We start from the raw sequence: 21,392 nt of genomic DNA, 5'->3' as shown, positions 1-21,392 counted from the left end.
GGTCTTGAACTCCTGGGCTCAAGTGATGTGCCTGTCTTGGCCTCCCAAAGTGCCGGGATTACAGATGTGAGCCGCCGCACCCAGCCTGAAACTAGTATATCAGCAACCTAGGCATAACTTAATACTTGTTCTTTCAGATCGGCTTTCTTTGGTTCATATTTCCTTTTCTGTCTTTTTAAAAACTGATTTTTCTTTTGTTGCTATCAGGTTTTAAAGGCAATTGGTTTACAGAGAACTGGAAAGCAAGAGGAAGCCTTTACTCTTGCACAGGAGGTGGCAGCCCTTGAACCCACAGATGACAACTCACTGCAGGCACTGACTATCCTTTACCGGGAGATGCACCGACGTATGTTTCTTTCTTTTCATTGTTTTTAAACTTGAGCTGAAAATTTTGGATATTTCTGACTGTTTGCCCTTGTCTGATTTCTCACTCATGATTTGAATGGATACAGTAGGTAGAATAACGCATTAGCCAGGGTTTGCGAGAACTGTAGATAGAAAGGATAGTTTACATGCATTAGGATCCTTGAATTGGAATGAGAATTAAAGTGACTTCATTTGTGATATTTTGATCTGCTAAATGGAGGCTTCACCCTTATTTTCACTTTTTAATATGGAAAATTTCAAGCAGACAAAAATAGAATAGAATAATAAACCCCATTGTTCTCATTATCCACCTTCAGCAATTAACACATGGCCCATTTTATTTTGTTTTTACCCTTTCCCCTGGCAGATTACTTCAGAGCATATCCTAAGTAGTCCATTGTTTCTTCTGAAATAAAGGTTTTTATTGTTAATTTCTTAAATATTTTATTGTGAAATCATACATATTTTTCATAGTACATATTATACAATAATCTTGTTTATGTAACATATAAGTACATTTGATGTGTAATAATGAAAACTCATGAACCTACCACCTAATTTAAGAAATGGAGCGTTGCCAGGCGTAGTGGCTAAAACTTGTAATCCCAGCACTTTGGATGGCCGAGGCTGGCAGATCATTTGAGGTCAGGAGTTAGAGACAGCCCGGCCAACATAGGGAAACCTTGTCTCTACTAAAAATACAAAAATTAACTGGGTGTGGTGGTGCACGCCTGTAATCCCAGCTACTTGGGAAGCTGAGGCAGGAGAATCGAAACTTCCACCTTCTGAGTTCATGCATCCTCTCCTGCCTCGGCTTCCCAGGTAGCTGGGATTACAGGCATGCACCACCATCCCCAGCTAATTTTTGTATTTTTAGTAGAGACGGGTTTCACCATGTTGGCCGGGCTGGTCTCAAACTCCTTACCTCAAGTGATCCACTTGCCTTGGCCTCCCAAAGAGCTGGGATTACAGCCGTGAGCCAAGTGCACCTGGCCTCCTCAATCAATCTTAATTCTCCTTTTACCTACCAAGAGTTACTCGCTATCCTGAATATTTTTTATTCTCTTGCTTCCCTTTAAATGTTTATTACATTTATTTCTCTTAGTAATACATTATTAGTTTTGCTTAATTTTAAACTTTTGTTAGTGCATCTGTACTATGTATATTCTATGACTTGCATTTTTCATCTAATAGCCAAGTGGCTATAGTTAATCCATTTTCACTACCACAAAATATTTCACTGGGTTACATTACAATATCTAGGAGTAGAATTTTCAAGTCATGGGGTAAGTGTATGTTTAGCTTAAAGCAAGATAATGTCAACTTCTTTTATAAATAGAATAGCAGTTTTTGAGTTCTGATTGCTTACATGCTTGTCAACACTTGGTATTCTTTCTCTCTTCATTCATTCAAATAGCTCAGATTGTAACATTTGGTATTTGTAACCTTAATCATTTTTGCCAATTTCTTTTGAGACAGGATTTTGCTGTGTTGTCCAGGCTAGTTTGGACTCTTAGGCTCAAGCAATCCGCCTGCCTCAGCCTCCCAAAGTGCTGGGATTATAGGCACGAGGCACTGTGCTCAGCTTCAATTTTGTTTTTAATTTTTACAAAAGATAAAACCTAAGAGTTGAGGTATTATATCTGAGTATTTACAGATTGTGTTGATTTAGGGATATGGATTCTTCTCCAGTGTTTTAAAAAAAATCATTTACTCCACAAATATTGGTGGCATGTTTCTCTATGACTGGTATTCTATCAGAGTCAAAGATAAAAAATGCACTTTCAGCCGGGCGCAGTGGCTCACGCCTGTAATCCCAGCACTTTGGGAGGCTGAGGTGGGTGGATTACCTGAGGTCGGGAGTTCGAGACTAGCCTGACCAACATGGAGAAACCCCATCTCTACTAAAAATGCAAAATTAGCCGGGTGTGGTGATGCATGCCTGTAATCCCAGTTACTTGGGAGGCTGAGGCAGGAGAATCACTCGAACCCAGGAGGCAGAGGTTTCAGTGAGCCGAGATCGCACCATTGCAATCCAGCCTGGGTAACGAGCAAAACTCTGTCTCCAAAAAAAAAAAAAAAGCACTTTCTGTTGTCATGGCACTCATTGTCTATAAGGGGAAATAGATCACTAGACAGTATACTACATTATGTGTTAATAAATGCTATAGTACAGCCTGGGCAACATGGCGAAACACTGTCTATATAAAAAATAAGCCAGTTGTGGTGGTATGTGCCTGCAGAACAGCTACTTGGGAGGCTGAGGTCGGAGAATTACCTGAGCTTGAAAGGTCGAGGCTGCAGTGAGCCGTGATTGTGCCATTGCACTCCAGCCTGGGCGACAGAGTGAGAACCTATCTCCAAAAAAAAAAAAAAAAAAAAAAAAAACTACAATATACTTACTTATATAAGATTCCAAGATGGCAGAGGGAGGCAGTGGTCAAATTGCAGTGGAGAAGCAGAGATGGTGTTCAGAGAAAGTCTTACAGTTCAGCTTACATTTGAATTGGGTCTTGGCTGATGTTCACTAAGATAAAAGAGAGAAAAGGAGAATTCAGGCAGAGCGAAGAGTTTAGAGGCATAGAGTTATGTATGATACATCCCAGAGAATCTGGTGGAACTACAAATAGTTTGTGGCTACATGATAAAGTGCTGAGGGAAAGAGGAGACAGAGGCCAGATCCTATAAGGTCTTATATGTTGTAAATGCTATGAGAAGGCTTGACCTATTCCATGCTTCATTTAAACACCACCTAACCAAGAGATGAATGATGATTGGATGAGGCAAAGCAGATACTTCTTCTATAATGATAGGAGACATCTATTTCTGCCAAATAGGAAGAACATTAAATGCCATTAGAATGTTCTTGAAGTATAACTTAAATCTTATTTCTCTTTATCTTAGCGGAGTTAGTTACAAAACTTTATGAGGCAGCTGTGAAGAAAGTTCCCAATAGTGAGGAGTATCACTCTCACCTCTTCATGGCCTATGCCAGAGTGGGTGAATACAAGAAAATGCAACAGGTAATTTGATCCCCAAACCTACTGGGCTATGGGATTTACTATTAGAGGCAAAAGTCTCTTTCTTGTGATTTAACTGCACTGGGTATGTGTGTGTGTAGAATTGAATTTATGGATTTTTCTGTGTGGAGGTCAGTCAGTTGTTTTCCTTATGTGTTTAAAGTTGAACTATTATTCAAGATCTTTAAATGTTTTATTTGGAAATAAGTTGATTGTTCTTTTGTGGCCTGATGTTATGTTTTGTTTGGTTTTGGTAATTCAGCTTCAGATTGTCCTACTGCATCAGATTGCTGTTAAATTTTCAGAAAATGAGCAGATATACCAGAGCAAAAAATGAACAACTATGGAAAGAGTAACTTTAAAGTTTACATCTAATTTGTAAATTTAAACTGTTGATAGCCTGCTAAGATTTTTAAGTCCACCAGGGGGAAAATCCTTGTTGCCTGGGATGTTTCTTTTTAAATTTATTTTTTGTTTTTTGTTTTTTGGTTTGAGGCAGCTTATTTGGCAGCTACCATATTGTAGATATTCTTTACATACATCTGAAGGAGCCTCATTTGAACACATTTGAATTAGGTTGCGGGTAAAGCTAACATCTCAGAGAAATATAATCAGCATTATTAATTCCATAAATGGCTCTGATGTTAAGCTAGTATTTTTTTTTTTTTTTTTTTTTGGAGATGGAGTTTTGCTGTTGTTGCCCAGGCTGGAGTGCAATGGTGCGATCTTGGCTCACTGCAACCTCTGCCTCCTGGGTTCAAGCTATTCTGCCTCAGCCTCCTGAGTAGTTGGGATTACATGCTTGCGCCACCACTCCTGGCTAATTTTGTATTTTTAATAGAGACAGGGTTTCTCCATGTTGGTCAGGCTGGTCTCAAACTCCCGACCTCAGGTGATCTGCCCGCCTCGGCCTCTCAAAGTGGTGGGATTACAGGCATGAGCCACCACACCCAGCCCAAGCTAGTACTTTTTTAGAAATGCTTTCTTTGTGGGTATAATATCTTCTGAAGGCAAAATTTTTTGGATTTTTATCTTATTCTTTACATTAAATATCAAGTTATAACAATAGATAATTTGGGCAGGGTGGCAGATACTATATTAATATAAACTCTTTCTTAAAATCAGTCTCTATATTTTAAGTTTATGCAAGTTTTAACATAGGAGAAGTTTTTTTCTTCTTTTTTCTTTTTTGTGATGGAGTCTTGCTCTGTTGCCCAGGCTGGAGTGCAGTGGCACGATCTCGGCTCACTGCAACCTGGCCTCCCAGGTTGAAGCGATTCTCCTGCCTCAGCCTCCCGAGTAGCTGGGATTACAGGTACACACCACCATACCTGGCTAATTTTTGTGTTTTTAGTAGAGGCGAGGTTTTACCATGTTGGCCAGGCTGGTCTCAAATTCCTCACCTCAAGTGATCCACCCACCTTGGGCTCCCAAAATGCTGGGATTACAGATGTGAGCCAGTGCGCCCAGCTGGAGAAATTTTTTGAGGGGTCCCAATGTAATTATTTAATAACATTTTGTTAATTTATTTACTGAAAGGTATTTAGACATTATAATTTTTAAAAATGTAAAATGGTTATGGGTGTGTGTGTGTGTGTGTGTGTGTGTGTGTATATATATATATATATATATATTTTTTTTTTTTTTTTTTTTTTTTTTTTTTTTTTTTTTGAGACAGTCTCACTCTGTCACCCAGGGTGGAATCCAGTGGTATGATCTCGTCTCACTGCAACCTCCACCTCCCGGGTTCAAGCGATTCTTCTGCCTCAGCCTCTCAAGTACTGGGACTACAGGCACATGTCACCACACCCGGCTAATTTTTGTATTTTTAGTAGAGACGGGGTTTCACCATGTTGGCCAGGCTGGTCTCGAACTCCTGACCTCATGATCCGCTCGCCTCTGCCTCCCAAAATGCTGGGATTACAGGCGTGAGCCACTGTGCCCAGCCATAAAATGGGTATATTTTTTAAAATTGGCAATGCTAACATATATACATATAAATCCTTAATATCATTTTTATTTGTAAGATTATGTTTTAAGCAAAGTATATTAAATATTCATTCATAAGGATAGAGTAAAAGAAGTTATAGTTCATCCCTATGGTACATAAAATACATTCCCACATCTCTCCAAATAATACTGGGTGTCTTTATATGGTTGACATATAAAGATGTTCCTAGTATATGTTAATTGAGACAAGCAGGTTGTAAAATGACCTTCTCTTCCCATTCTTCTCATGTTGTCCTCAAAAAAGATATACTTCTTTTCTTTCTTTTTTCTTTTTCTTTTTTTGAGATAGACAGACTCTCTCTGTCACCCAGGCTGGAGTGCTGTGGCGTGATCTCAGCTTACTGCAAACTCTGCCTCCCAGGTTCAAGAGATTCTCCTGCCTCTGCCTCCCGAGTAGCTGGGATTGCAGGTGCCTGCCACCACACTTGGCTAATTTTTTTGTGTGTGTGATATAGTCTTGCTCTGTCGCCCAGGCTGGAGTGCAGTGGTGTGATCTTGGCTCACTGCAACCTCCGCCTCCTGGGTTCAAGCGATTCTCCTGCCTCAGCCTCCTGAATAGCTGGGATTACAGGTGCACACCACCATGCCTAGCTAATTTTTATATTTTTAGTAGAGATGGGGTTTCACCATGTTGGTCAGGCTGGTCTCGAACTCCTCACCTCTTGACCCACCTGCCTCAGCCTCCCAAAGTGCTGGGATTACAGGCGTGAGCCACTGCACCCACCTAATTTTTGTATTTTTAATAGAGATGGGGTTTCACCATGTTGGCCGGGCTGGTCTCGAACTCCTGACCTCGAGTGATCTACCTGCCTCAGCCTCCCAAAATATTGGGATTACAGGCGTGAGCCACTGCACCTGGCTAATTTTTATTTATTTATTTATTTGATATGGAGTCTCGCTCTGTCTCCAGGCTGGAGTGCAGTGGTGTGATCTTGGCTCACTGCAACCTCCACCTCCCAGGTTCAAGAGGAGATCCTCCTGTCTCAGCCTCCCGAGTAGCTGGGACTACAGGCACGCGCCACTAAGCCCAGCTAATTTTTTGTATTTATAGTAGAGATGGGGTTTCACCATGCTGGCCAGGCTGGTCTCGATCTCTTGACCTCATGGTCCGCCCACCTTGGCCTCCCAAAGTGCTGGGATTACAGGCGTGAGCCACTGTGCCCCGCCCACGCCTGGCTAATTTTTATACTGTCATTATTGCTGCTTAAGGAAGTTACAATTTCTTAGCTTAAGTATGTTTATTTTGAGTGTGGAATGTCAGTCTGAGGTAATAGGTATTTCACACATTTAATGTCATGTTTCATATGGATGAAGGTTTTTGTTTGATTTGTTCATTGTTGATTTTCCATTGCCTAGAATAGCATCTGCACAATAATTTGTTAAGCAAATAAATGATTTGTATAAACTCGTGGAGGTAGGAGGGAGGGAAACTTAAGAGCTTCTGCTGCCCCAAATAACATCTCTGGCTGGTGATTTTGAAACCACCATAAATGAAGAGTAGCTAGTTATTCATATGGTGATAAGGCTTTTCTTTTCCTGTAAATGACATTCTCATTCTGAGTCACCAACTTAGATCCATGTTTTTAAACTTGTCTGTCATCAAAAATTTTGTTTCAGCAGATTATCAGAGCCTGCAAGATCATAGGGTATGGACATGAAATTTTTGCCTTGCATTTTATATTAATTCATATTCTAATGTTATATATTTTTATCTCTGTATGTCATTGTAAAAATGTTTTCCCATATTCTCAAGTAAAATGAATTTCCTAACTTTTATTTATTTTTAAGCATTTATTCATTTTTTGTAGAGTTGGGATTTCGCTATGTTTCCCAGGCTGGTCTTGAATTGCTGGGCTCAAGCAGTCCTCCTGCCTTGGCTTCCCAAAGTGCAGGGATTACAGGCATGAGCCACTGTACCCAGCCGGTTTTCTAACTCAAAGACAAAATTATTATTTTTTCTTTTGATTGTAAAATCTTCCCAGGGATCAATGGAATTTCCTAACATTTTTCATTTTATACCTGTGGAGTATACGTACCCCAGTGTTAGAAGCAGGTGCCTCAAGCCATCTTAGACTCTCCTATCCTGTATGTCCTTGTCGTCTCTAGATCATGTTTATTCTGCCGCTGCTGTATCTTTTTTTTTTCTTTGAGATGGGGTTTCACTCTTGTCGCCCAGGCTGGAGTGCAATTCAGCACCAGCTGAATTGCAGTGGTGCAATTCCGGCCCACTGCAACCTCCACCTCCTGGGTTCAAGCGATTCTCCTGCCTCAGCTCCCTGAGCAGCTGAGATTACAGGCACCCACCACCACGCCCAGTTAATTTTCATATTTTTAGTAGAGTTGGGGTTTCACCATTACTTTTATCTTTTACCTTAACTTTATTGGCCAAGTTGGTCTCGAACTCCTGACCTCAGGTGATCTTCCTGCCTTGGCCTCTCAAAGTGTTGGGATTACAGGCGTGAGCCACGGTGCCCAGCCTCTGCTGTATCTTTCCAGGTTTCTTTTCTATTTGATCTACCCCATCCTGGTTTTGTGCCTCATCACCTCACCTTTTCTTTCTTCCTATTTTGTCTCTTCACAGTACTGCTGAGATACTGTTCCTAGAAGAGTATAGATTTATAAATATCACTTCTCTATTCTGTATAGGCTCCTTTTTTAATACCTTACAACAAAAGTACCTTGGTCTACCTTTCAACACTTTTCCTGCTACTCTTAATTGTTTTAGCCAGACATCCTACTTGTTTTATCAGCATACATCCCTTTACTTTCTTGAATGTTTTTTGTTCAGACTCATTTTTCTCCTACTTCGCGTTGATACATTTACCCATTCACCTCAAATATTTGTAGTTTTATATGTATCGTTACCACACCCCGCACCCCCCACCCCCCGCCCCCTGCCACCATGTTATGTTTGACCTTCAAAGTCATCTGAAAGATGGCTACTTTGGAGGGGCTTTAATGATAATGTTCTCCTCTCTACTTTCCCTTAAAGAAAGAAGAGGTAAGAAAATGAACAATTTTGCCTTCCTTGGAAATACCCTAGGATGGTGTTTTATATAGGACATTTATTTTTATATTTAGTTTTATTATTTTGATTTTGAGACAGATTTGATTTTAATTTGTTGCCCAGGCTGGAGTGCAGTAGTGTGATCATAGCTCACTGTAGCCTTGACCTCCCTGGGCTTAGGTGATCTTCCCACCTCAGCCTCTTGCCAGTAGCTGGGACCACAGGTGCTTGCCACCACCCTGGTTAACATACATATATATGTGTGTGTGTAAGGTTTTACAATGTTGCCCAGGCTGGTCTCAATCTCCTTGGGCTCAAATGATCCTCCTGTCTCAACCTCCCAAAGTGTTGGGATTACAGTCATGAATCATCATGGCTGGCCTAGGACATTTATTTTTTATTTTTATTTATTTATTTTTTGGAGACAAAGTCTTACTCTGTTGCCCAGGCTAGAGTGCAGTGGCACGATCTCTGCTCACTGCAACCTCTGCCTCCCGGGTTCAAGCGATTCTGTCTTAGCCTCCCAAGTAGCTTGGATTACAGGTCCCTGCTGCCACGCCCAGCTAATTTTTGTATTTTTAGTAGAGATGGGGTTTCTCCATGTTGGCTCAGCTAGTCTCGAACTCCTGACCTCAGATGATCTGCCAGCCTCGGCCTCCCAAAGTGATGGGATTACAGGCATGAGCCATTGCGCCTGGCCCAGGACATTTATTTTTATTGCTAAATACATTTCAGTCATTTATGTATTTGTTTTCTCCCCCGCTTTTAAATGCCTTTGGGACAGGGACGCGATCTTTGAATCTTTGTCAGGAATAGATAGTTTCTTCTACTTCATAGGACCTCCATGTAATTTTTGAATTAGATTGGCAGTAGGCAAAAGATTAAAAAACATATGAAAATTACCTGATGGAGTTTTTAGCATCAATTACTAGTTGGCTAATTATGGATAGAGTCTCAATTATGCTTGAATAGGTCTATTCTTTTTTAAAAGCATGTTCTTGCTTTTAAGTATTTGCATATTATACATTTCATAATGAAAGATTTCAGTTCTAATTATTGGAATCTTGAAGGAACCATATTATTTTCCTAAGCTAAGAAGAATTTTTGAATTATGGCATGGTAATCTTTTCTGATATTGAAGTTTAAGTATATTCTCTGGGCATGTTTATTTGTTTTTGCTAATAACTGGTTAGTATGGTATCTTAAGTAAAGTTTATTGATGTACACTTACAAGCCAAATTTTGTGTTTGCTTTGTAGTCTCCTAGAACTATATTGGATTGCAGCATATTCTGGAAATGTTGGACTTTAATTTTAGTAAATTCTGGTTCAAAAAGTAAAGTATCACTCATAACATGAAAATTCACCTTTGTGATTACTGCTGTTGCTAAAGCCATCAAGTCACTAGGAATTTACACTAACTGGGATATGTAAATATATTGCTGTTCTCCCAAGAAACTTTTTGTCGTGTATCTAGATCATTAATCCCCTTCTGTATGGTGTTTTCTAAATAAAATATTTATGGTTCTCTTTTAGGCTGGCATGGCTCTATATAAGATTGTCCCCAAAAATCCCTACTACTTTTGGTCTGTGATGAGCTTAATTATGCAAGTGAGTATGGCATTCAGAATGGGATTGAGGTTTGGTTTTATTTTTTATATAGTTATTGTCCTCAGTGTGTCTTCTGAACTGGTTTTTTTTGTTTGAGACAGGGTCACGCTGTCACCCAGGCAGGAGTGCAGTGGTGCAATCATAGCTCACTGCTGCCTTGACCTCCTAGGCTCAAGCAATCCCTCTACCTCAACCTCCCAAGTAGCTGGGACTACAGGTGCACACCACCTTGCCTGGCTAATTAAAAAAAATTTATTTTTTGGTCAGGTGTGGTGGCTCACGCCTGTAATCCCAGCACTTTGGGAGGCCAAGGTGGGTGGATCACGAGGTCAGGAAATCGAGACCATCCTGACCAACATAGTGAAACCCCATCTCTACTAAAAATATAAAAATTAGCTGGGCATGGTGGCATGTGCCTGTAATCCCAGCTACTCTGGAGGCTGAGGCAGGAGGGTCGCTTGAACCCAGGAGGCGGAGGTTTCAGTGAGCCGAGATCATGTCACTGCACTCTAGCCTGGCGATAGAGCGAGACTCTGTCTCAAAAAAATGTTGTAGAGACAGGGTCTCACTCTTTTGACCAGGCTGGTCTTGAACTCCTGGCCTCAAGCAATCCTTCTGCCTCAGCCTCCCAAAGTGCTGGGATTACAGGCATGAGCCTCTGTATCTGACTGTGAACATTTTGTGTAATGTGTTGCAGCATGTCAAACAGGGACTTTGTGTTGTCAATTGACTTAAGTTAGGGGTTTTGAGTTTTTTGGGTTTTTTTTTTTTTTTTTTTTTTGAGACAGAGTCTCGCTCTAACCCAGGCTGGAGTGCAGTGACGCGATCTCAGCTCACTGCAAGCCCCACCTCCCAGGTTTACGCCATTCTCCTGCCTCAGCCTCCTGAGTAGCTGGGACTACAAGCATCTGCTACCATGCCCGGCTAATTTTTTTGTATTTTTAGTAGAGATGGGGTTTCACCATGTTAGCCAGGATGGTCTCGATCTCCTGACCTCGTGATCCGCCCGCCTCGGCCTCCCAATGTGCTGGGATTACAGGCATGAGCCACCGCGCCTGGCCCTTGAGTATTCTTTATGAGTTGGTATATCAGTTTATTTGTGGGTAGCATGGACTGTATTTCCCCTGAATCTCTAATCTATTGCTGGGTTGCTTGATCAAGCATGAGCCTTGAAATGTTTGATATTACAACTTGAGGTTTGCTTTTAAGACAATATTGCTGATTAGTTAATGGCTCATTGAACTGGGTGGCCTTCTTTTATCACTTCTCCTTTCTGAGCCTCAGTTTGCTCTTTTGCAGAAAGGAGACACTTTTCTCCCAGGGACCAAAGTGAGATTCTGTATAGGAGAGGATGGGGAGGAAGGATTTAAAAGTAGTGTTTAAGAACAGATGTTATGGGGTCAGACAGGTCTGCCTTCATACATTAGCTTTACCGCATGTCTGGTAAAGCTGTCTGGGGAATTTCTTAACCTTAGTTTTTTTTTTTTTCTGTTGTCCAAGCTGGAGTGCAGTGGCATGACCTCAGCTTACTGCACCTCCTAGGTTCAAGCGATTCTCATGTCTCAGCCTCCCAAGTAGCTAGGATTATAAGCATGCACCACCACACACACCTAGCTAATTTTTTAAATTATTTTTCAGTAGAGACGGGGGTTTTGCCATGTTGGCCAGGCTGGTCTCAAAATTTCTGGCCTCAAGGGATCCACCTGCCCCAGCCTCCTGGAGTGTTAAGTTTACAGTCATGAGCCACCACGCCTGGCCTAACCTTAGTTTCTTTGTAAAATAAGCATAATATCTACCTTGAAAGGTTGTTTACAAGGGTTAAGTGAGCTGTGAGCAGAATCTGGTGTTATTAACTTTATTAATTTCATGTGTTAATTGTTGTTACCAATTTAAGGTAACTAGCTACTAGTAAACTGTGTAATGAAAGGAATTGGCATTTCTCTTCTAGTATGTGAACATCTCAAAGATACCTGGAAGGCTTTCCTCTTCAAATACCTGATAATACTCATAAATAATAAACAGCATAGGCATGCTCCCTCTTTACATTCTTCTAGAAAAATGTATAAATAACCGACTTAAATGCTAGGTTGTATTGTGGAAGCTCAGTATTTCAAGAACACATAGGATAATGAATCTTTAGCAAAGAAATCTTTTGTAAAACAAACTGCTCCGTAATGTACCTCCTTGGCAGGGAATTCATATTAGGTCTGATATTTGACATGGTGGATTGATAATTATGTGCCCAATTAACAGTAATGTTAATATCAATAGTGCAAGCAGGGGAGAATTAGAATGAAACATTATTTTTCTTCTTTCAGTCTATATCGGCACAGGATGAAAACCTCTCAAAAACAATGTTTCTGCCCCTTGCTGAGAGAATGGTCGAAAAAATGGTGAAAGAGGACAAGATAGAAGCTGAGGCTGAAGTGAGTATTTTAAGCCTTACTTTTGTGTTTTCATTTTTTTGCTAGTGCTACAATATTATGTTATAATACTATGAACTGTTGTTTTGTTCCAGTTTGATAGCTGGGTCCTCACTTTTGGCCTTTGGGTAAATCTGAAGCCCTCAGCGTAGGTCTAATCACTGACCTGTTTCCAGCAAGTACTCTAGGCTGAGATGTGTATAGACGGGAGAGATATAGATGGAGAAGATCCTGTTACCTGCTTCGTACTGTCAGTTTCATCTCATTTGAAGACATGCTCTATTAAATAACTTTTTAAAAACCTATAAATGACTGTCTTTTTATTATTGAAAAGTTTCAGAGGTTGCACTTCTTGTTTTTTTTCTGTAAGGTTGAACTTTATTATATGATCCTGGAACGTTTGGGAAAGTACCAGGAGGCCTTGGATGTCATCAGAGGGAAATTAGGAGGTAATTTTTAAACATTTTCTTAAAGCTTTTTTTTTTTCCTATTTAAACATGAAAAATGTTTATTGTAGAAAATTTCCACATAAGGATATAAAGACATAAACACTTTTGATCATTTTGTTATATTCTTCCAGACTTTTCTGTATGTTGTAAATTTATTTTTAAAAATGTTTTTACTTGAAAATAACAGATTCAGAAACTTCAAGGAGTGTGAAAGGTTATACTCCAGATCTCTAGCCGTCTTCCCCTAGGTTTTCCTCCAGTTACACTTTATATTCTTGTAAAGATTCATCTTCCCCACTTTTTTTTTTAAACACGAATGAAAACATAATATACCTGGCTCATAGAATAATCTTATTCAGTTAGCACAATGTTTTTATTTAAAAAAAATTTTTCTTTAAAAATTTTAAATTAATTAATGCCCCTCTAGTCAGGATTTGTACTCTGTAGATACCGCAAACATTCCTTCTTTATTTGTATGTCTGTCTTATGAAGGCATTTGAGTTTGTGACCTCTGCTGTGCATACTCTTATACCCATACTTTATTTTTATTATTTATTTATTTATTTTAAAGAGATGAGGTCTCACTGTTTTGCCCAGGCTGGACTTGAACTCCTGGGCTCAAGTGATTCTCCCATCTCAGCCTCCCAAGTAGCTAGGACGACGGGCACACACCACCACACTGGGCTCCATTATTTCTTTCTTTCTTTTTTTTTTTGGAGACAGAGTCTCACTCTGTGGCCAGGCTAGAGTGCAGTGGTGCGATCTCGGCTCACTGCAACCTCTGCCTCCTGGGTTCAAGTGATTCTCCTGCCTCAGCCTCGTGAGTAGCTGGGACTACAGGCACACACCACCACGCCCAGCTAATTTTTGTATTTTTAGTAGAGACGGGGTTTCAACATGTTGGCCAGGCTGGTTTCAAACTCCTAACCTCAAGTGATCTGCCTGCCTCTGCCTCCCAAAGTGCTGGGATTACAGGTGTGAGCCACCACGCCTGGCCTCCATTATTTTATTATTATTATTATTATTTTAACTAAATAGTATTTCCTAGAGATAAAGTTCACTACCTCACTCCTTTAATAACTGTCCAGTGTTCCACAGTGTGAATGTAGAAATTTACTTAACCAGTTTTTGATGGATATTTAGGCTACTCACAAGAAACTTCTTGTTTTTTTTTGTTGTTGTTGTTGTTTTTGAGACAGGGCCTTGCTCTGTTAGCCAGGCTAGAATGCAGTGGCATCATCACAGCTCACTGCAGCCTTGATCTCCTGGGTTTAAGTTATCCTCTCACCACAGCCTCCTAAATAGTTAGGACTCCAGGCGTATGCCATCAAACCTGGCTAATTTTTATATTTTTTGTAGAGGTGGGGTCTCAATATGTTGCCCAGGCTGGTCTCGAACTCCTGGTCTCAAGCGATCTGCCTGCTTCAGCCTCCCAAAGTGCTGGGATTACTACAGGTGTGACCTGTCAGGCCTGGCCCTTTTTTTTTTTTAAACTACATTATAGCTCTATGGATAGTAAAAAGTTAGATTCTCAACAGGAAATTCATAATGTAATTTTTGGTATCCTTAATCTGCTAAACAGTTGGGCAAATCTAATTTGGTCAGAACTATCATCCTAGTTTTTTTGTTTTCAGTTGTTTGGAAAGATTTGATTCCTCTCCACTCTTTTTTGTCTTCTTCCAACATCTCATCTTTCTTAGCTCATGTCAGCTCAGTCCTCTTTGATGTTTTGGAACTGTATGGATGGGCAGCTTGTCTATGGACTAAATTTACTAGTCCCTAGATGCTGTTGGGATTTTATAAGTATATCCCATGTACTATTAATAGATGTTCAACCCAATACATTGTGAAACCTATCCTTTTACAAAGAAAATGATTATAAAAATTTACTGTCAGTAATGTACTTTTTTCTTTGAAGTAAAATAATCTTTAATAAGATAGTAGTAGTTTGTATGTAATAGTGGTCCCATTTTCTAAGAGAGTGAATAAGAAAATGTGACATTTAGGCCGGGCCCGGTAGCTCACAGCTGTAATCCCAGCACTCTGGGAGGCTGGGATGGGTGGATCACCTGAGGTCAGGAGTTTAAGACCAGCCTGGCCAACATGGTGAAATCCTGTCTCTACTAAAAATACAAAAATTAGCCAGGCGTGGTGGCAGATGCCTGTAATCCCAGCTACTTGGGAGGCTGAGACAGGAGAATCGCTTGAATCCAGGAGGTGGAGGTTGCAGTGAGCCAAGATCGTGCCATTGCACTCCAGCCTGGGTGACAAGAGTGAAACTCCATCTCAAAAAAAAAGAAAAGAAAATGTGACATTTTCCTTCTTGTGGTTGGACTCTATTCTGGTTATTGAGCAGAAATGAAACCAGCTTACCAACTTTTATAACTTTTGATTTTAGAGAAGTTGACAAGTGAGATTCAGAGTCGGGAAAATAAATGCATGGCTATGTACAAGAAGCTGAGCAGGTGGCCAGAGTGCAATGCCCTTTCCCGGCGCCTCTTACTAAAAAAGTGAGTAAAAGCTTTCTTTTGTACCATTTGACTGTAGTGAGGCTTTAAGACCTCACTATTGATTTTCTTGGTGTCTGTGTTTTGAAGTTTCTGGGCATAAAGTCTTCTTATAGTAGTTGTGTCCTGCATGTTTCTAAAAGTTTTTAAGGAGCCTTCATCTTTCAGTAGAGTATTATAATGGTACTTGTAGGCTGGGCATGGTGGCTCATGCCTATGATCCCAGCACTTTGAGAGGCCAAGGTGGGCAGATCACTTGAGGTCAGGAGTTTGAGACCAGCCTGGCCAACATGGCGAAACCCTGTCTTTACTGAAAATACAAAAATTAGCTAGTTGTGGTGGTGCGTGCCTGTAGTCCCAGCCCCTCGGGAAGCTGAGGCACAAGAATCGCTTGAACCTGGGAGGCAGAGGTTGCAGTGAGCTGAGATCATGCCACTGCACTCCAGCCTGGGTGACAACAATGAGACTCCATCTCAAAAAAAAAAAAAAGATACTTGTGCCACCATGGTGCTGAATTCTAGTTAGGGCTTAAGAATGAACACTGAAAATCATTAATTTCTCAAATTCAGTATTCCCCTAAAAGAGAGAGGCTTCATTCTTTGCTACAACACTTCTCTCCCCTTCCCTCTATTTTGGAAGTGCTTATGTGGGGACTTTTCTGTTATGAATATTAGTTTTCTAGACCTGGTCATTTTATTGAAGGAAAGAGTAGTTTACTACTCTTTACAAATACAAAGTAGTATTACTTTGAAAATGCCCTTTTAGATTTGCAAAGGAAACATGGAGTGGGTGGGGGTAAGCCAACCTACTACATACTAAAATATAACTTACAAAATAAATTGAATATCATGGTTCCTAAGGAAGATCTGTCACAACTTGGGTTTAATCCTGTGTGCATCATTCAATCTGATTTTAGCTCAGATGACTGGCAGTTCTATCTGACTTATTTCGATTCTGTCTTTCGACTGATTGAAGAGGCCTGGAGTCCTCCTGCTGAAGGTGAACAGTAAGTTGTCTTCTTTCCTGAATTATAACAGCACTTTTTAATATAGTGTAGTGAAAGGATTTCATTATAAGCCAATTGAATTCTCTTTTTCTGTCTCAATAAAGTATTCCTTTCAAAGTAAGACATTTTTTCATATTTTTTAAAGTATAAAATACACAAGTTCATTCTAAAAATCATGTTAGTGCCAAAATATGTGGTGTGCTAATTTCCACTTATCCTACCATTCCAAAAATAACTCTTGTTAATAGTTTGGTGCCTTTCCGTGAGATTTATTTCCATCTTTATGCTAAGATAATTTTTCTTTTTCTCCTTTTTTTTTTTTTTTTTTTTTTTGAGATGGAGTTTGGCTCTTGTCACCCAGGCTGGAGTGCAATGGCACGATCTTGGCTCACTGCAACCTCTGCCTCCCAGAAGCAAGCGATTCTCCTGCCTCAGCTTCCCGAATAGCTGGGACTATAGGTGCCCACCGCCGTGCTCAGCTACTTTTTGTATTTTTGGTAGAGACGGGGTTTCACCGTGTTGGCCAGGCTGGTCTCAAACTCCTGACCTCAGGTGATCCACCCATCTCAGCATCTCAGCCTCCCAAAGTGCTGGGATTACAGGTGTGAGCCATTGCGCCCGGCTTAATTATTCTTATATTTAATATAAAAATGGGATTGTATTAGACACGATTTGCAACCTGTTATTTTTCAGCCTTGAAATATATCTTGAACATCTTTCATTTCTGGTACATGTAGATCTCTTTCATTTTTTTTCCCCCCAGTGGCTTAAGAGTACTCCAGATGTACCATAATTCATTTAGCATTTTCCCTATTGATGATACTTGGATTTTTGAAGATCTCTTTTTTTTTCCTTTGTCCTTTTGTTATTGGCTATTGTAGGCAGTACTACAATAAATTTTTTTTCCTTTTTATAGGCATCTAGAGTTAAATGAATAAATGGGGCCGGGCACAGTGGCTCACGCCTGTTATCCCAGCACTTCGGGAGGTGGAGGCGGGCGGATCACAAGGTCAGGAGATCAAGACCATCCTGTGAATGGTGAAACCCCATCTCTACTAAAAATACAAAAAATTAGCTGGGCGTGGTGGCGGGCGCCTGTAGTCCCAGCTACTCTGGAGGCTGAGGAGGGAGAATGGCGTGAACCCGGGAGGCGGAGCTTGCAGTGAGCCGAGATCGTGCCACTGCACTCCAGCCTGGGCGACAGAGCAAGACTCCCTCTCAAAAAAAAGTGAATAAATGGGATCTTTTAAAAAATTAATACAGAAGTAAAATTCAAGATGACAGTTATGAGCTGATGCTTGCTTCGTAATATTAACTAGGTTACCTAATTTTTCTCAGTTTTCATTCTTAAAGCAATAAAATGTACAAGACCCCATCTCAAAAATATATGTGTGTGTGTGTGTGTGTGTGTGTATTTAATTTTTAATTTTTGTTTTTTTTGAGACAGGGTCTCACTCTGTCACCTAGGCTGGAGTGCAGTTGTGTGATCTTGGCTCACTGCAACCTCTGCCTCCTGGGCTCAAGTGATCCTTTTGCCTCAGCCCCAAAAGCAGCTTGGGACTACAGGCATGAGCCACCACGCCTGGCTAATTTTTGTATTTTTTGTAGAGATGGGGTTTTACCATGTTGCCCAGGCTGATCTTGAACTCGTGAGCTCAAGTGATCCACCTGCCTTGGCCTCCCAAAATGCTAGGATTACAGGTGTGAGCCACCGTGCCTGGCCTTTTTTTCTTTTTGAGATGGGGTCTTGCTCTGTCACCCAGTCTGGAGTGCAGTGGTGTAATCTTGCCTCCCACTGTAATCTCTGCCTCTCAGGCTCAAGTGATCATCCCACATCAGCCTCCCAAGTAGCTGAGACTACAGGTGTGTGCCACCACAATTGGCTGCTTTAAATTTTTTGTAGAGATGGGGTCTCCATGCATTGCCTAGGCTGGTCTCAAACTCATGGGCCCAAGCAGTCCTCCCACCTCAGCATCCCAAAGTGCTGGGATTTTAGGTGTGAGCCACCACACCCAGCCTTATATTTTTATTAGGCAATTTTTTTTTCTTTTCTTTTTTTTTTTTTTGAGATGGAATCTCTCTCTGTCACCTAGGCTGGAGTGCAGTGGCGTGATCTCAGCTCACTGCAACCTCTCCCTCCTGGGTTCAAGCGATTCTCCTGCCTCAGCCTCCTGAGTAGCTGGGACTACAGGTGCATGCCACCACGCCCGACTAGTTTTTTATACTTTTAGTAGAGATGGGGTTTCACCATCTTGGCCAGGCTGGTCTCGAACTCCTGACCTCAAGTGATCCGCCCACCTCAGGCTTCCAAAGTGCTGGGATTACAGGCGTGAGCCACCACGCCCAGCCAGGCAGTATTTCATATATACAAAATTATGCATTCTTTTTTTAAAAAGGTAAGTTATGCTGCAGTAATCAAATGCCAAAATTGAGAGTAATCTTATAACATGTTATCTGTTAGAATATGTTCATAGTTCTCTTTTATTCCTTTTTCTATTATTTTATATTATCAAAGTCGTTTTTCTCTTTTTAAATGAGTTTGGCTTGACTTTAAGCTTCGGGAAGGACAATAGAGGCAATAAAATTCCTTTTTCATGTGCTTTTCCTCAGCTCTTTAGAAGGAGAAGTACATTATTCTGCAGAAAAAGCTGTGAAGTTTATAGAAGATCGGATAACGGAAGAATCTAAAAGTTCTCGCCATCTCCGAGGACCACATCTAGCTAAATTGGAGCTGATTAGGCGTTTACGAAGTCAAGGTTGTAACGATGAGTACAAACTGGGTAAGAAACCATGATATCTGGTAAGCCTGGAGAATGCCCTTAATACCCAAGTGCTATATTCATTAGTTGAGATCTACACTGGACAGAGTCATGTTTGGGAAGCAGATGTCTTCATAGCCTGAAAATATTTGCTAATGAATGGATCACTTATAAAATTAGTCCTTTATCATATATTCACCTTGGCTTAACATTAACTTATCTCCCTGTTCCGTCAGAGTCTTTGTCAGGCATTCTGTTGCTGACCCAACAATAAAGTCAAAATCAGCTGGTTGCGGTGTCTCACGCCTGTAATCCCAGCACTTTGGGAGGCTGTTGTGGGTGGATTGCTTGAGCTCAGGAGTTGGAGATCAGCTGGGGCAACATGGTGAAACCCCATCTACAAAAAATACAAAAAAATTAGCTGGGCATAATGACGCACATCTGTAGTCCCAGCTACTCAGGAGGCTGAGGCAGGAGAGTCTCTTGAGTCCAGGAGGCAGAGGTTATAGTGATCTGAGATCGTGCCTTCACTCCAGCCTGAGCGACACAGCCAGAACCTGTCTCAAAAATTTAATTTAAAAAAATAAAAAAACCTGGCTGGGTGCATTGGCTCACACCTGTAATCCTAGCACTTTGGGAGGCCGAGGTGGGCGGAACACCTGAGCTCAGGAGTTCAAGACCAGCCTGGCCAACATGGCCGTAACCCCGTTTCTGCTAAAAATACAAAAAATTGGGTGGATGTGGTGGCTCATGCCTATAATCCCAGCACTTTGGGAGGCCGAGGTGGGCGGATCACCTGAGGTCAGGTGTTCAAGACCAGCCTGGCCAACATGGCCGTAACCCCGTTTCTCCTAAAAATACAAAAAATTGGGTGGATGTGGTGGCTCATGCCTATAATCCCAGCACTTTGGGAGGCCAAGGCGGGCGGATCACCTGAGGTCAGGTGTTCAAGACCAGCCTGGCCAACATGGTGAAACACCGTCTCTACTAAAAATACAAAAATTAGCCAGGCATGGTGGCACACGCCTGTAGTTACAGCTACTTGGGAGGCTGAGGCAGGAGAATTGCTTGAACCTGGGAGGTACAGGTTGTGATGAGCTGAGATCTTGCCGCTGCACTCTAGCCTGGGTGACAGAGTGAGACTCTGTCTCAAAAACAAACAAAAACAAAAAATTATCTGAGCGTGGTGTCGTGCACCTGTGTCTCAGCTACTCGGGAGGCTGAGACACAAGAATCGCTTGAACCAAGAGATGGAGGTTGCAGTTAGCCAAGATCGCGCCACCGCACTCCAGCTTCAGCCTGGGTGACACAGCGAGACTCTGTCGCAAAACAACAAAAAATTAAAAAAAAATAAAAACAGTCAAAAACAATAAAGTCAAAATCAACTTCAAAGTAAAATTGCCAGTTTGGGAAAAGTTTCATGAAGTGGATGAAAGGTTTCTTGAAAATCTGCTTGAAGCACTCACAAAACTATTGACAAAAGAATATTTGGTGGAATTAGCAATTTATAACTGAAGAGAAAATTTACTAGGATAATGACAAGATAGCAGAAAAGAATGATGTGGATAGTAAAGCATTGAGAGAATCCTTCAGGAAATTTGATGAAGCCCTTAGATCTTTTTATAAAATGATTCTTTATGATCTTATTGCTCAATAAGTAAAGGATATCGTCATTGTACTAGTTCACAATTTTGCTGGAAAAACTACCACCTCCCTAAAAGAAAGCAGTAATTCTTTGCTCATACTAAGAATTTGCTTACAGGTTTTTATTTTATTATTATTATTTTTGAGACAGTGTCTCCCTCTGTTGCCCATGCTGGAGTATAGTGGTGTAGTCTCCACTCACTGCAACCTCTGCCTCCTGGGTTCAAGTGATTCTCCTGCCTCAGCCTCCCAAGTAGCTGGGATTACAGGCGATCGCCACCACACCTGGCTAATTTTTGTATTTTCAGTAGAGATGGGGTTTTGCCATGTTGCCCAGGCTGGTCTCAAACTCCTGGACTCAAGTGATCTCCCTACCTTGGCCTCCCGAAGTGCTGGGATTACAGACATGAGCCACTGCACCCGGCCTAGCTTACAGTTTTGTTTTTTTTTTTGAGATGGAGTCTCTCTCTGTCGCCCAGGCTGGAGTGCAGTGGCGCAGTCTCGGCTCACTGCAACTTCCGCCTCCCAGGTTCAAACAGTTCTCCTGCCTCAGCCTCCCTAGTAGCTGGGATTACAGGTGCACACCACCCCG

General features: G+C 41.2%; 1 protein-coding gene across 6 annotated transcripts in view; it reads left to right on the top strand.

Annotated features, from left to right (window-relative positions):
* The window catches only part of NAA25 (N-alpha-acetyltransferase 25, NatB auxiliary subunit), an 82,095-nt gene that overhangs the window by 17,712 nt on the left and 42,991 nt on the right, over positions 1-21,392 (top strand). For 5 of the 6 annotated variants that reach the window (XR_944730.4, XR_243023.5, XR_944731.4 and 2 more), the window contains exons 3-10: positions 208-346; positions 3,271-3,389; positions 9,938-10,012; positions 12,331-12,438; positions 12,806-12,884; positions 15,283-15,394; positions 16,308-16,397; positions 19,008-19,177. Coding sequence is in view for 3 of the 6 variants with exons in the window: in NM_024953.4 (NP_079229.2) it covers positions 208-346; positions 3,271-3,389; positions 9,938-10,012; positions 12,331-12,438; positions 12,806-12,884; positions 15,283-15,394; positions 16,308-16,397; positions 19,008-19,177 (892 nt within the window). In the remaining 3 variants the exon portion in view is untranslated. Of the gene's footprint in view, positions 1-207; positions 347-3,270; positions 3,390-9,937; positions 10,013-12,330; positions 12,439-12,805; positions 12,885-15,282; positions 15,395-16,307; positions 16,398-19,007; positions 19,178-21,392 lie in introns of those variants that run through there. The other variant, XM_047429557.1, reaches the window with a different exon arrangement.

This window comes from Homo sapiens, chromosome 12 (genome assembly GCF_000001405.40).
Source record: "Homo sapiens chromosome 12, GRCh38.p14 Primary Assembly".
NCBI classification, from domain to species: Eukaryota; Metazoa; Chordata; class Mammalia; order Primates; family Hominidae; genus Homo; species Homo sapiens.
This window is presented reverse-complemented; position numbering and strand designations above follow the sequence as displayed.